The following is a 16,187-nucleotide window of genomic DNA, read 5'->3' as shown; positions in this document are numbered from 1 at the left end:
ATTGCGTGATTTAAGCATGCTTACTTTTTCCATTCCAGTTCTCTTATCTTTTGGATATCTTATCTCTTATTTGCATCAGTTCCTCTATTTCCTTATTTGGAAGAATTAAATGCAGTTTTACAAAATGTAATATATGTTCTACTTTACATTAGGTTTATTATTTTCTCAATGCTTAGATAAAAATTTTCATCACTCTGTAAAACTAAGTTTTGAATTCAATACCGTACATGTTTTATGAATGACATAAACAGAAATTTGTTTCCTCTTATCTTTATTCAAAATTCTTCATTCTACCAAAACTTCTAAGTAACCAAAGTTAGAAATACACACATTGTCTCATTAAAGAATCTCGGAAACATCAAAATCTTGAGCTTCTAAAAATTATTTTTTGCTATTAAATTTTTACAGAAATCTGTTACAGGAAAGGCAGCATGCTTTTGAACCATTTCCTGTCCTTATTCCAGTGTTCATGAAAAAGAGGAACTCTTTAGACAAACCAGCTGCTGGATTTCCTAGAATAGTAAATTACTCCAAAACTCTTATTTCATGTGATCCTGCCACACTTTTTTTTCCCAGCAGGATTTCCTCATTTTTCACAACTATTTGTTTCTACTCTAAATTAGCTTCCTACAAATAGCCTCTCGTCAGATGAGTACTTACCTCTGCAGAGTAACCATAAATAAAGAGACCCCTTGGTTCATTACATCCACATCTCTTTAACTAAATTCACAAAGCACAACTTTTCCATTGAAATTTTGTCTCCTTCTCTTGAAACAAATCGCTGCTGTAGTACAAACAAAAAAAATCTAGATTCTGTGAACCTATTTGGAATTCTTCATGATTATTGAAAAATCTTTTAGATTTAAAAATAGCAACAATGAAAATATCATATATTTGGAGAACCAGTAGAAAGGTAACTCAAGCCTCTTTTACATTTTTTTTAAGCTTTAGCCATTCTTACTGTCCCCAAATATTGGTCATTTTAGGGACATTCTGATAAATCACTATTACATTAGCTATCTGAGATGCTTTAAGCAATTTTATGCCCACTCTGAGCTGACCTTGTCTTCCTGACTTGGGGTAAACCATTTCTGTGATGATCTCCTTATTCTTAGAAACAAACAAATTTTGATTATATAAACTAAGAGAAAAAAATGTGCACCTGGATGTATCTCTTGGTCTCTTTCCTTGTTGCCCTACACCAACTTCAGAATAAAGAAAACATTGTTCTTCTTGAGAAGGCAGTGAAACCTCTGAAGCTGTAAACATTTCTAGAGGATAATATAAATCCCATCTGTGTGAATTATAATAATGATTATATTAATGGCATAAATAAAAGGTTTGTTGAAACTTCCAACAGCAGTGTACTGTTTCTTTGCCTATATACGTGATGAATTTCAGTTTATTCCATTTCGCTACCTGTAACATTTTTCTTTACATGGTGAAAAACATAAGTCCTGTCTAAAATGAATAACACCTTTTTTTTTTTTTTTTTTTTGGAGACAGAGTTTCACTCTTTTGCCCAGGCTGGAGTGCAGTGGCGCGACCTCGGCTCACTGTAACCTCCACCTTCCAGTTTCAAGTGATTCTCCTGCCTCAGCCTCCCCAGTAGCTGGGATTACTGGCGTCAGCCACCACGCCCAGCTAATTTTTGTATTTTTAGTAGAGATGGGGTTTCACTATGTTGACAAGGCTGGTGTTGAACTCCTGACCTCATGATCTACCTGCCTTAGCCTCCCAAAGCGCTGGGATTATGGGCGTGAGCCACCAAGCCTGACCCAACGCTTTAAAAATAATAATAATAATAATCATCATCATCATCATCTAAATAGAACACTACTATCCAGGAAATACATGAAAACTTTACCATTAAGTCTCAGGAAGTTTGAATGATAGAAATGATAGAGACAATCCTTTTATTTTTATGGTGAAGTGTTAACAGTTTGGGCTTTGGCATCCACCAGCCACGAGTTTAGATTTCAGTTCTATAACTTATTAGCTCCACGATGCATAACCTTTCAGAAGCCAGCTCTTTATCTGAAAAAAGGGGGATATCTCTTATCCATTTTGTAAAGTTGTTATGAGGGATCACGTGACTTGAAATGTGCGAATACTGAAGTGTAAACACAGATAACTGGGTATTGTCTCTAACACATGCCTCCCTTCCCCTTCCCCTTTGTTTCAGAAGTCATCAGGTACACATGGCCTGCACGGACTGATCAGAAATGATTGTGGTTGCTGTCGAGAAAGATGTCTTAAATTTCAAAATGTTTTAGCCTCATTAGTAGATGCCAACATGACAATTAAAACAATTGTCAAACATTGTATCCTGAACCGTCAAAACAAAATTTACGTATGCAAGGTTGGCCAGCAGGTGCAGCAACCTTGGCCCTCCCGTACAATGGACGACGGGAAAGAAAATTGGTATCTTGGAAGGATGGAGATGGTAAATTATAAGGCAAAAACCTAAAAATTTTTCTTCACCAAGAAATTCTGTTTACACCATTTATACTAGTAAATCTTCAAGGATATATTTTTTCATTTAGTAAATATTTAGTGTCTACTATGTGATAAGGACATTTCTAGGTTCTGAGAAGAAAGTGAACAAGAGTCCAGGTATTTTCTCTACTTTTCATAGAGTTTACATGCTAATGAGGAAATATATGATAAACAATTATTAATTATCAGTAATATTATCTATTAATAGATGGTATTAATATTAACAATCTTTTGATTATCTGTTATAGATATTGATAGTATCTATTAATAGATACTATTACTATTATCTATTCTTAATATATAATATTCTTTATGAAGAGAAGAAAATGTAAAGCTCTGTTTAAGAACGATGAGGGTGCTCATTTCATAGTCAATAGGCAGGAAGCTGCTAAGAGGAGATGGAACTTCCAGTGAATCTTGAATAAAAAACAGGAGGCAACCATAATCTGAGAAAATAGCATCTCAGCCCACGAGGACCAGGAGAAGGTAGTCTGGTAGATTACATATGTAGTGAAAGAGGAAGGTGAGACGAGATGAAGGGGAACTTCTGGGCAATGGCCATACAGGGCTCCGCAAGCCACAAATGAGAGTATAGATTTTATTAAGGTATTTTGAAAGCCCCTGTAGGATTTTAAGCAAAGGAGTGTTATGTTACGTTAATGTCATGTGACATTAACTGAATTTCTTGTCTTGGACAATCACATCATGACTCTGCAGATAACTGATTAAGGACAGCACAAGAGTGGTCCTGCGGAAAACAGGTGAAAGGTTACTACCTACACTGGTCCAGGCAAGTTGAGATGAACCAGATGGTGCCTGCAGAGTCACAAAGAAGGAGGCAGATGTGGGATGTGTTCTGAGACTGATTCAATAAAACCGACTAAGGAACTGAATGTGGGGAATGAAGAAAGGAGGAAAATAACACCTATGCTTTTGCCTAGATCTGGGGAAGGAGTGAAGCCTGGGAAAGGGAGATGAGACAGATGGGGGAGAAACAAGTTTGGGGGAGGTGTGGGAAAACCTAGAGTTCTGTTTTGGACATGTTAATTTAGAGCCACTTGTTAGGCATTCAAGTAAAGATGTCATCCTTGTTGTGTGGAACCTGAATTTTAGGGGTCACGGATGGAGCTGACATATGGGGAAAATGGACCCAGACACAGTCAAAGATTTACATGCCAGGATATATATATACACACACACATATATATATATACACACATATATATTTAAAGTTGCAATACAGAATGAATGAAAAGAAACTAAATATGGGATAAATAAATTTTGGTACATTCATACGATACAATGTTACGTATCCTTGGAAGTATATTTTAGAATAATACTTAGAGAAATGTAAAAATGGGAATGTATTGTTATACTATGAAGAGGTATGAGGAATGTGATCACACATTTGTGCAAATATATAAATTACCTAAGTCTAAAGTATAAAAATATTTGTAAGAATTACTTTGGAGTTTTTCAGTGGTGAGATTATAGGTGTTTTGTATTGTTTTTGCATTTTTTGTATTTTTAAGATTACAACATATGGAAAAATTAATGACCATAAAAAGAAATATCATTAAAAAACATCAGCGTATGAGTTGCAATAAAACAGCTGAAGACACTAAAGAAAGATGTAGCAAAAATACTTTAACAATATTTCACTTAATTTCCTAACATTATTGTAAAGTTACTGAGAATCTGAAAGTATTGATATATTTTCTAATTAATTTGCCTAAATAGTGGTATTTAAAAATACTTATCAAACACAAATTTCTCAATACTTTTTCCTGTGTTTTACACACATATATTTTTTGCCCCAGATAATTTTGCACACAAAATGCCATACTTCATCATTTGTATATTTTATTATGAATAAGTGGTATGTAGTTAGTCCATCTATCACTCTGAATTTTATTTGAAAAATTGCAATGTGACATCTACTGCGGTCAATGCCAAAATAAATGGACAATAGCCATACAATGTATTGTTTCACCTTAAAGGTTAATTTTGATAACACCTTGGAAATGATCAATTGTGCAAGAATTGGGTCCTGCGATAACAAGAAGGGTAAGATCCTGGACAGGGCATTAATTCCATAACTCCAGTGGTATAGTGTTATGTAGATGTGGAGTTATACAATTAACGCACTATGTATCCTTAACAAGTTGTAGGTTGTCACCATCATCTAATAACATGTAACAATTTAATCAATTCAGGTACAAGAAATATTGGCCAGCTTCTCGCAACTAACAATAATGTCTTAGTTTTGAGGTTAAAGCCATCATCAGGCTCTCTCTTGAAATTCGTCCTAACTTTCCCTGAAATCTTATGAGGCATATTTGATATTTTAAAAATTAGCCCCTCCGAATTTGGGTTTAAAGTTTGATGTAGTGGTTGAACTGTCAGTTGTTGGCATTCGATTAAATATTCTTGACTGAAATGAAGCAATTAGGGAAAATGTGTTTTATATGGTCAAGGTTAAGCTGAAATGAGAGATTCAATTTTAAACACAAGGATTTAAGTACTCAAGGGCATGTCAGAACATACTTTTAGGAAGTACACTGTAGAGATTCTCAGATTGGACAAATAAACTGATGAACCCAAGAAATATGATCCTGACTCAGGCTCACAGCATCAACTGGTTACCAATAGCTCCTATAGACTGTGAATAATAGAGACAGCCTGCTTTGCTAGTATGACCTTTTCACAGTTTATAAGACTCATAGACTTACAGAAAGGAAGTGAAAGGGAAAGTGATAAGAGATGGCTGTTGTGCAAAACATTTGTGTTATACTTATTACAAGTCTAGCAAAAGCTTATGTCAGTGGTTAAGGAAGTGCATATTGGTGGAAAAGGACTGGCAGATACCCTAGATGTTTTTGGGCACAAAAATTCACTTAGTCCATATTTATGGAGTATCCTCCAGGTGCCCTTCCTGTGAAAGCTTCTATCTAGGGTAACAAAGGAAAATCAGCAATACATATGCAAGAGGAGCTCAGAGACCAGTTAGGGAAAGGAGAATAAACATAAAGTAGATGATTTCAGTTTTATTTGCTAAATACTTAGTAAATAAAGCAAGAAGTTGACTCAGGTGACTCATAATTCTTACATAAGGCAAAAACTTTTGACCTGTATATTAAAGGATGAGTAGACAGTTTCCAGGTAGAGAGGGAAAGGCATTCTAGGAAAAGAGAACATGGGCCAGCCCAGTCACACAAAAGAGCTTAGAACGTTTGACTGTGGAGGATGCTGCCCAAGTTCCGGCTGTCAGTTGTTGGCATTCAATTAAATATTCTTGAATGAAAGTAAGCAATTAGGGAAAATGTGTTCTATATGGTCAAGGTTAAGCTGAAATGCGAGATTCAATTTTAAACACAAGGTGTATGTTAGGTGAATACAAGAGTGTCGCTGGATATGAGTTTGGAGAATTTCTTGAAATCAGACATTGGAAAGTTTTTTTATTCCCATTCAGAATGTGTCTGGACTTTTTGCAATCTATCCATCTGACAAAAGTCTAATATCCAGAATCTACAAGGAACTTAAGCAAACTTACAAAAAGCAATCCCATTAAAAAGTGGACAAAGGACATGAACAGACACTTCTCAAAAGAAGACATACATGCAGCCAACAACCATATGAAAAAAACACATCACTGATCATTAGAGAAATGCAAATCAAAACCACAATGAGATACCATTCTATGCCAGTCAGAATGACAATTATTAAAAAGTCAAGAAACAAGAGATGCTTGTGAGGTTGCAGAGAAATAGGAATGCTTTTGCACTGTTGGTAGGAGTGTAAAGTAGTTAAACCATTGTGGAAGACATCTGGTGATTCCTCAGAGATTAAGAACTGGAAATATCATTTGACTCAGCAATCCCATCAGTGGGTATATAACCCAAAGCAATATAAATCATTCTATTATAAAGATACATGCACATGTAGGTTCTTTGCAGCACTATTCACAATAGCAAAGACATGGAATCAACCCAAGTACTCATCAATGATAGACTGGATAAAGAAAATGTGGTACATATGCACCATGGAATACTATGCAGCCCTAACAAACAACAAATCATGTCCTTTGCAGGGACATGATGAAGCTGGAAGCCATTATCCTCAGCAAACTAATTCAGGAACAGAAAACCAAACACCATGTGTTCTCACTTATAAGTGGGAGCTGAACAATGAGAACACGTGGACACAGGGAGGGGAACAACACACACTGGGTCCTGTTGGGGGACGGTGGAGCGGTGGGGGAGAACAATAGAGAAAAGTGCTAATGCATGCCAGGATTAATACCTAGGTGATTGGTTGACAGGTGCAGCAAAGCACCATGCCACGCATTTACCCATGTAACACAAACCTGCACATCCTGCACATGTACCCTGAAACTTATAAAATAAAATAAGTGTCTGGATTTTAATCTTGAGGCAAAGGGAGAGACATTTACACAGAGAATAAAATACTCAGAGGTGTGTTAGAGTAGTCTCCAATGCCAAGGGGAATGATTACCAGAAGGGAGTAATGATGGTCAGAGAGACCATTAAAATATTTATTGCCATAGTTGAAGTAGAAAACCTCAGAGCCACATAGTAGTCATGGCAAGGCAAAGAAGACAGTTTTAAAGGAGGTTTGAATCACACTGACAGAGAACTCAGATGTAAAGATTAGTTTTATTCAGCAGCCAGCTGAGCACAGAAGTAGAGGTGTCAGGAGCAATGCAATCACGTTGCCTTGATCAACTTCACAGGCAAACAGATTCAGAGCAAAAGAAGATAGCTCTCTGGCCTACTTAAGTAGGCTTTTACACTTCTCAGCAGAGCCCTGGAGGGTCTCTTAGCCCCATGCATGAATGAAAGAATGAAATTAAAGTCCAAGATCCAGTTACTATTTAAAATTTTTAAAAAAATTTTATTTATTTATTCTAAGCTTGTAACTAATGTCCCCAAAAATAAATACGTAGAAGCATCATTCAATTCAATTCAACTCCATTTAACGAACACGCATTTGCTTTCTTCTATGTATGCTGCTTTGTGTGACTCTCCTAGGGAGAGTTAATAATAAAGCTGAAATGAACTAACAATTGGAACTCTTTATAAATAGTGGTTTCTTTTTGTCATACATTTTTACCATTTCTGTCTTGCAACTTATTTTATGTGCCTCCTCTGTGTGGAAGCTGTGGATGTATTCCTAACTTGAGGAGGCCCCTGTCATTACAATAATCTGTCTAATGTACTTTAACAGGCTTAGTATTAGAAGTATCGGAATTGAACTGGAGCTTTAATTACTCTATTTTTAGTGTGCTACATTTTGCAGGTTGTTAGTACTTTGGGTAGAAACCCAACAATTCTTGTCAACAATTTTCACTTTGGCAAACATCTTTTTATATTTGCTTTCCATGTGAAGTAGTGGAAAAAAAGGGCAACTTAATCTTGAGACACTACTTGTGTTTCTCTACCTCAACACTGTGTTGTCCCATTGTCAAAAAAACCATGAGACGATATCATTTGACTACATTATTTTTTGAATCTATATATTTTTTAAAAAAGCTAAAATGAGACATAAATTGTCAGGAATGACTCCAAAAATATTCTGTGGCTCACGTGTGTATTAAGCATTGATTTTTACATCAATGGCAAGAAAATTGAATAATCTTGATTTGGGAAAGCCACCAAAATCATGTATTCAGAGAACCTAACAGTAAAAAGTTTTCAAACATGAATCTGTGCTTCATGGAAAGAAAAGAAAATATTTTTAAAGGTACATGCGTAGTTAATGTTTCTCATTTCCTCCAGCAAGAATTGACTACTTTGTCTATCATTGCAACGTAGTAAACAGAGTTTGATACCTATTTACTGGCTGAGCTTAATAAAGAGATCACTATATTGCCTCCAAAGATCACTAAAAATGATTGATTTACTTTCTAGTTCGAAAACCATCTCAGCACGGTGCATGACTGACAGTTTTTCCAATTTTTGAACTGTTCCTTTTGATGCAGGACAGGTGAGCTCCACCTTGGTGCTTAGCACATGAGGGTTTTTGGCTTCACCCAGGAAAGAATTCAAGGGCAAGCTGGTGGTAGGGTAGAGGAAAACAGTTTTGTTGAAGAGGCAGCATTACAGCTTTGTGACTGCTCCTGCAGAGTAGGGCTACCCCATAAGCATAGAGTAGCAGTTCAGGGCAGTTCTTTAATCATATTTATACCTACTTTTAATTGCATGCAGATTAAGGGGCAGTTAATGCACAAATTCCTAGGAAATGGGTAGTAACTTCTGGGTTGCCAGTCATTGCCATGGAAAGAGGCAGTAACCATTGCCGTGGCAACGGTAAACTGACACAGCACACTGCTGGCGTGCCTTATGGAAAGCTGCTTCTGCCCCATTCCTGTTTTAGCAAGTCCTCATTGTTCTGGTGTCTGAGCCCTGCCTCTGAAGCAGAGTCCCACCTTCTACCTCATTTTGTCACAAGGTCTCAAGTGCACATCCCATATTATTTCTAATACGGTAATGTTTATGAATCAATGACTGTAGTTCCACAACCAAACTTCCATGTGATTAAATAATAAAAGCTGAACACTTCCATGTGACTCCATGTTTCAGCACAGAGAAGACTTAAACTTTAATCAAAGAACCAAAAAACTGGGAGTTGCTTTTCTTCCTTTGGTGAAAGGGCAACAATTTTTTCCCCTTTAGGTCTCAGAGTGCTCACATTTTTCTGGCCCCCATCATCCCTCATAACCACTCTTCAGTGCAATCTGATGATGTACAAAATAATCTTGAGGATTTTTCCTTTAGATTCTACAACACCTACAAATATTTTAGAATGATTTAAAAAGTGATTAGAAATACATAAACCAGGGCTGGGAGCGGTGGCTTACGCCTGTAATCCCAGCACCTTGGGAGGCCAAGGTGGGAGGATCATAAGGTCAGGAGTTTGAGACCAGCCTGGCCAATATGGTGAAACCCCGTCTCTAATAAAAATACAAAAATTAGCTGGGCATGGTGGCACGTGCCTGTAGTCCCAACTACTCGGGAGGCTGAGGCAGGAGAATTGCTTGAACATGGTAGGTGGAGGTTGCAGTAAGCCAAGATTGCACCACTGCACTCCAGCCTGGGCAACAGAGTGAGACTCCATCTAAAAAAAAAAAAAAAAAAAGAAAGAAATACATGAACCAATTTAAAATTACAATAGGTATTTTATCAAAAACTTAATTTTTAGTAATGATCAAAATATGATGTTTTAGTGAGTAAAAATGTCAAATTTTGTAATCTCAAACTATGCTTTAGAAAAGTTGAATGCAATTTTGCTATAAAAAAGGAGCTGCTTTCATTTAAAATAAATTTATTACTTTTTTTGTATACATATATTTAATGATCACTCTTTTTCTGCATGCCTGCGTGCGTGCACACACATACACACACACACACACACATTCTATGCCTTTCCACACATCCTGCCCCTACCCACCTCTAACAGCTACCTAGAAATGTAAATTCTGTAAGGACAGGCACTTTGTCTATAGTTTGTAGTCCCAGGGCCTGCTATACCATAGGAGGTCACTAAATATTTGCTGAATGAATAAATAGAATACTCGAATTCTCTGGCTTCAAATATTTAAACTAAACTCATCTACAACATGACTTTCTTTTCAGATAATTTAATGTTTGAATTTCAAATGACTTCACAACATCATAATTATCTTCTTTATTAAAAAATAGATGTTATCCCAGTACTTTGGGAGGCAAAGGTGGGAGGATCACTTGAGGCCAGGCATTCGAGACCAGACTGGCCAACATGGTGAAACCTGTCTTTACTACAAATAAAAAAATTAGCCAGGTGTAGTGGCACATGCCTGTAATCCCAGCTCTTTAAGGGGCTGAGGAACGAGAGTTCACTTAAACCTGAAAGGCTGAGGTTGTACTGAACCGAGATCATGCCACTGCACTCTAGCCTGGGCGACAGAGTGAGACTCTGCTTCAAAAAACAGATGTGGAAACCACTACTTCAAAAGTAGCTCCCTTTCCTAGGCTTGTTTGCCCCTACATTTAAATTTTCCTTGTTGGGATAAATAACATAGTTGAGGGGATATCTAAAGGGACAATAGAACACCGGTAATTATATCTCCATCATAGAAGCAAAATATGAGATAAATCAGCAAAATTATTTTCAACTAATTAAACTGAAAAGAGATAGTTCATGTGAAAGCATTTTGATGGGAGCGGGATGGGATAGAAAAGACACTTGTTGAGACCAAGAATCCTAGTCCCCACTGTAGGGAATCAATCAATTATAGGACATGTCCATTGATTTCACGGCATTTACATCAATCATTCAAGTGAAAGAAACAAGACATAAGAAAACATGTTAAATGATATTATTTGATTTTTATGAACAAAATTTTCAATCTTAAAAATGGGTAATGCATTCTCCTGAAAGTCTCCTGCTTGTATCCTAACTGAGAATGTGTCTCCAAATAGATATAGATTCTCATTTGTATGCACATTGGTTCCCACGGAAGCATAGTAGGGGAAATCTTTAATTATGAGTTTAGAAGCTATTTACTCTCCAGAATATTAAATTAGCAAGGGTTAACCTGAAGCATATTTTCCAAATTAATTTTATTTTCAAAAATAAAATTAGTTCTCTATTTCCCCACATGAAAATATTATATGCCTCCATATTTATGTGTCTGTCCTATAGTGGTGAGGCTGACTTCCTTACAAAGTCTTTGGAAATCATTCTTACAAATTTAGGTCATACACATATGTCAATCAGTAGTGTACACAGAACAGTATACGTCTCCTCGTTTGTAAATGGAAGATGATAATGGAGTCCTTGCAGACTTGCGACGATTGAGAGACAACGTGGCTAGGAACTCCCTCCAGTTACTAGCTGAGGGTATGGTGGCCATTATTGTTATGATCAAATTTCAACATAAAACTGGAAGTCTTTTCGTTAAAAAGAAAGTTAGAAAATAGTAATCCAGAAATGTTCATCTTCGAATGCATAAAATGGAGACTCATAAAGGTATCAGGAAACAAGCAGGTATTTTGTCAGGTATTAGCTTTTGAAACAATAAAAAATATTTCTTCCAGGTAGGGTGTGGTGGCTCACACCTGCAATCCCAAAACCTTGGGATGCCAAGAAGGGAGGATCTCTTGAGCCCAAGAAATGGGGACCAGCCGGGGCAATTAAGTGAAACCCCGTCTCTACAAAAATAATTAATAATAATAATAATAATAATAATAATAATAATATTAGTCAGGTGTGGAGCATGAGCCTGTAGTCCCAGCTATTTGGGAGACTGGGGTGAAAAGATCACTTGTGCCCAAAAGGTTGAGGCTGCAGTGAGCTTATCGTTTATATATATATATATAAAATATATATTTTATGTAAAGTATGATATATATCATCTATACATATATAAAATATGATACATATCATCTATACATATATATGATACATACCATCTATACATATATAAAATATGATACATATCTATACATATATATGATACATATCATCTATACATATATAAAATATGATACATATCATCTATATATATGATACATATCTATACATATATAAAATATGATACATATCATCTATACATATATATGATACATATCATCTATACATATATATGATACATATCATCTATACATATATAATATACGATACATATCATCTATACACATCAGAAATAGATGACATATATCATAATATAATAAATATATATCATATATTAAATACATATATATTGAAAGAAATAGCCATATTTCATTCAATAGTAATTATTATTGCTGTATTACCATAGTTACTTGAGCATATCAAAGCTTTAATAATGTGATAATACCTACATTATTCCATTATATTTCTGGTTACACAACCGGATGAATACTCTTGATATGGTATATATGATTCATTCAAACATTACCCCTTTTTGACTGATGGATGTTAATCTACAATAGCTTATGTGCTGAAAACTGGAGTAACCTATCACCTATTTTCTTCTCTTAAAAATTGTCTTTATTAGCTTAATGCTTTACAGTTACCTATCTACAGCCATCTGTGAAATCTGAGTGGCTTGACATAATTTGTGCTACTTATAACTCTATCTCATTAGCCCATGTTTGACTTCACTGTATACAATTGGTCTACAGCAAGCAACAAAGATGGGCGTCATGTGTTAAAACACTGTTTTAGTGGACTTAATGATCTTTCATGTTACAATTGTATGATAAAATTTCAGTTAAAATCACACAATTCAAGAAGAAACATTTAAATCAAACAAGTTTAAGTCCTCCTCTGAGTGATGTATAGCTACTCATTTATTGACACAGAGGCCTTTTTTTTTTTTGGTTCAGTTATTTTTTGCTCTATTTTTAAACAAATAGCTTAAATCTACAATAATAATAACATAGGCCAGGTGCAGTGGCTCACTCCTGTAATCCCAGCACTTTGGGAGGTTGAGGTGGGTGGATTACCTGAGGTTGGGAGTTCGAGACCAGCCTGACCAACATGGAGAAACCCCGTCTCTACCAAAAATACAAAATTAGCCAGGCGTGGTGGTGCATGGCTGTAATCCCAGCTACTTGGGAGGCTGAGGCAGGAGAATCACTTGAACCCGGGAGGTGGAGGTTGCAGTAAGCCGAGATCACGCCATTGCACTCTGGCCTGGGCAACAGGAGTGAAACCGAAACTCCCTCTCTCAAAAAAAAAAAAAAAAAAAAAAAAAAAGAATGGTAACACTTATATGCATTTTCCACCTTTCCCAAATGACTAATGTTAGGGGACTTCCTTGGTCATATGAAGTATATATATAAATTATATAGCATGTACGTGCTTTATATTTATGTAAATATGCTTTAATATGTATACTTTAAAAAACAGTGATGAATTCAAGCCTGGAATGTTGAACAAAAGCAATCAAAAGAAATAAAATAGTTATTATAATAAAAGAAAACCTTAAGAACTATTTAAAATATTTTTCTTACTAACTCATAGCAATGCAGTCATTCCACCTTCAGTTAACATGAGGTCAGAAAATTTCTCATCATTGTTGAAATGCTGTTCTAAAAATCAAATTTTCTAGCCCACCTAGGGACACAATCAATCAATCAATAGAGCTTAATGATAAATTAAGAAGGTAGTTAGTAGAGTCAGATACACATTTTCAAAACTCCTGTTATCTTTTGCTAAAAATACTTAAAATGATATAAACATCACGGTAAGTTAAAATTTGCCACTTTTCATTTTTTTCTGGTCATACTTTTTACAGATTTATATTAATAACAATTTTAAGAAAACATCCATATTGAAAGACATTTCATAGAAATCTCTGTAACATGCCAAATGTAATTATTTATTGTGCAATCTAAGGATAAAATGTATCATTAATCATTTGAATCATTAATTTTATCAGTAACTATTGGTTGAGTTCTGGACCCAGGAAAAACAAGAATGAACAAGACAGGAACTGCCCTCAACCAGCTAACACCATAGTGAGGTAGTTGGTACATCAACAAAGCATTGCAAAAGAAGTAAGCATGATTTATAATATAGGCATGCACACAGTACAGAAGAGCAGAAAAAGAAACAGTGAATTTTAAGGGGAAGATCAAGGAAGTTTTCACAGATGACCGTGCCTGTAAACTGAGTTTGGAAGGAAGAACATGAGTTTGATTAACGGACAGTACATCTAAGCACAAGGAAGCTCCTGGGATCATGGCACGCAGGTAAGGCTTGCTGCTGCTAGGTGGGGCTTGGTCAGCAAGGAGGCAGAGGAGATTGGCAGCCAACATGTGAGAGAGGGTCACATAAACCTCTCTGGGAAATTCACAGCTCATTGATTCCACTTCCAGTCACCATTGAGCAGGCTCTCTTCTTAAAGGACTCACCTTCTGCTTGGCCCACAATACAGCCTACTTGAATACACTTCCATTCCTAGGCTTATACTCTTCCCTTTACCATGTTATATGTAAAGTTAGGGGCTATTCTCAGAATCGCACTGTAGTAAAGATTTCATCTATTTCGTGTCTCCAAATTACATTAGACTTCAGGTCTGAATATCCCATGTCTGATCCATGATCTGGCCCTGTGGTACTGAATGAAATGCGTCATTCTGCTTTAGTTTTTAGAGATTCTCATTTAAGTAGTATCAGATAGATATTGGACTTAATCAGTCTCCTTCAGAAGGAGACTCCATTTTTTTTTTTTTTTTTTAGATGGAGTCTCTCACTGTTGCCTAGGCTGGAGTGCAGTGGTGCGATCTCAACTTGCTGCAACCTCCACCCCACAGGCTCCAGTGATTCTCATGCCTCAGCCTCCCGGGCAGCTGGGATTACAGGTGTGTGCCACCACACCTGGCTATTTTTTTTTTTTTTTTTGTATTTTTAGTAGAGATGGGTTTTCACCATGTTGGCCAGGCAGGTCTCAAACTTCTGACCTCAAGTGATCTGACCATCTCAGCCTCCCAAAGTGCTGGGATTATAGGCCACTGCATCCAGCCAGAAGGAGACTTCTAAAGACATACATAATTTAATTTGTGATGTTAAGGTAAACATCACAAATATATATAATGACCATAAAACCACAAAGATAAGTAGAAATCCACAAAAATCTGTCTGTTTAGTAGGTGATATGGTTTGGCTGTGTCCCCACCAAAATCTCATCTTAAATTCCCACATGTTGTGGGAGGGACCTGGTGGGAGGTAATTGAATCATTGGGGCAGGTTTTTCCCATGCTGTTCTCATGGTAGTGAATAAGTCTCAAGAGATCTAATGGATCTATAAGGGGGAGTTCCCCTGCACAAGCTCTCTCTGTGCCTGCTGCCATCCATGTAAAATGTGACTTGCTCCTCCTTGCTTTCCACCATGATTGTGAGGCCTCCCCAGCCACATAGAACCGTAAGTTCATTAAACCTCTTTATTTTGTAAATTGCCCAGTCTCAGGTATGTCTTTATCAGCAGCATGAAAATGGACTAATAATACAGTAGGGCCAGCATTCCAACCGCATAACCTTGCTTTTTTCCTTTTATTACATTCTAAATCCTAATACGAGACTTCATAATGTGCATCTTGGCTGCATTGAAGGGCTAGAAGTATGGCATGCTGCAGGCCCTGGGAGGGCAGGACAGCATCACATCAGTGCCATGGGCATCTCTCACCCAGGCCCTCACAAAGGGACAGCAACACAGCAACCAGGCCTGTACCCATGTCCATAGCATGTAGATTCTTACCAAGAAATGCACCCTCAAAGCCTTTATGCCCAAAAGCTTCCCCCATAACCACTACTGTCCTCATCAGGGGAAAAATCTATAAAGGCTGAAGAAGCTATTGCAAAAATAAACAAGAAGAAGAATAAATGGGTGTGTGCAAAGCAGTCAAAGATAACATTTTAATCTGAATTATAAGCAAGTCAGATAAGTCAGATTAAATTTATATGTGAAAGACTTTCTGCATACAGAGATGGACAGAGTTGGACAAACCAAACGCTGTCATTGTTTTAGATGGTTTATAAGGAAGAAGTGAGGGAATAAGACTTGGCTTTCTGGTCTGAGTGATACATGTCAGCCCAGCAACTGGCTCAACTAGAGAGATGGACATAAAACATGGGCTCATGCTCTTGACTCTAAATATTGCCCCAAGTTATCAGTACTTTCCACCTTGGGAACAAATTATG

The 16,187-nt window shown here is 36.6% G+C and overlaps 1 protein-coding gene across 28 annotated transcripts in view; it reads right to left on the bottom strand.

The window, feature by feature from the left end:
- The window catches only part of CHRM3 (cholinergic receptor muscarinic 3), a 528,883-nt gene that overhangs the window by 351,064 nt on the left and 161,632 nt on the right, over positions 1–16,187 (bottom strand). The window lies entirely within an intron of this gene.

Source organism: Homo sapiens, chromosome 1 (assembly GCF_000001405.40).
Source record: "Homo sapiens chromosome 1, GRCh38.p14 Primary Assembly".
Lineage (NCBI taxonomy): Eukaryota > Metazoa > Chordata > Mammalia > Primates > Hominidae > Homo > Homo sapiens.
The sequence above is the reverse complement of the archived record's forward strand: the minus strand, read 5'-3'. Positions and strand labels throughout refer to the sequence as shown.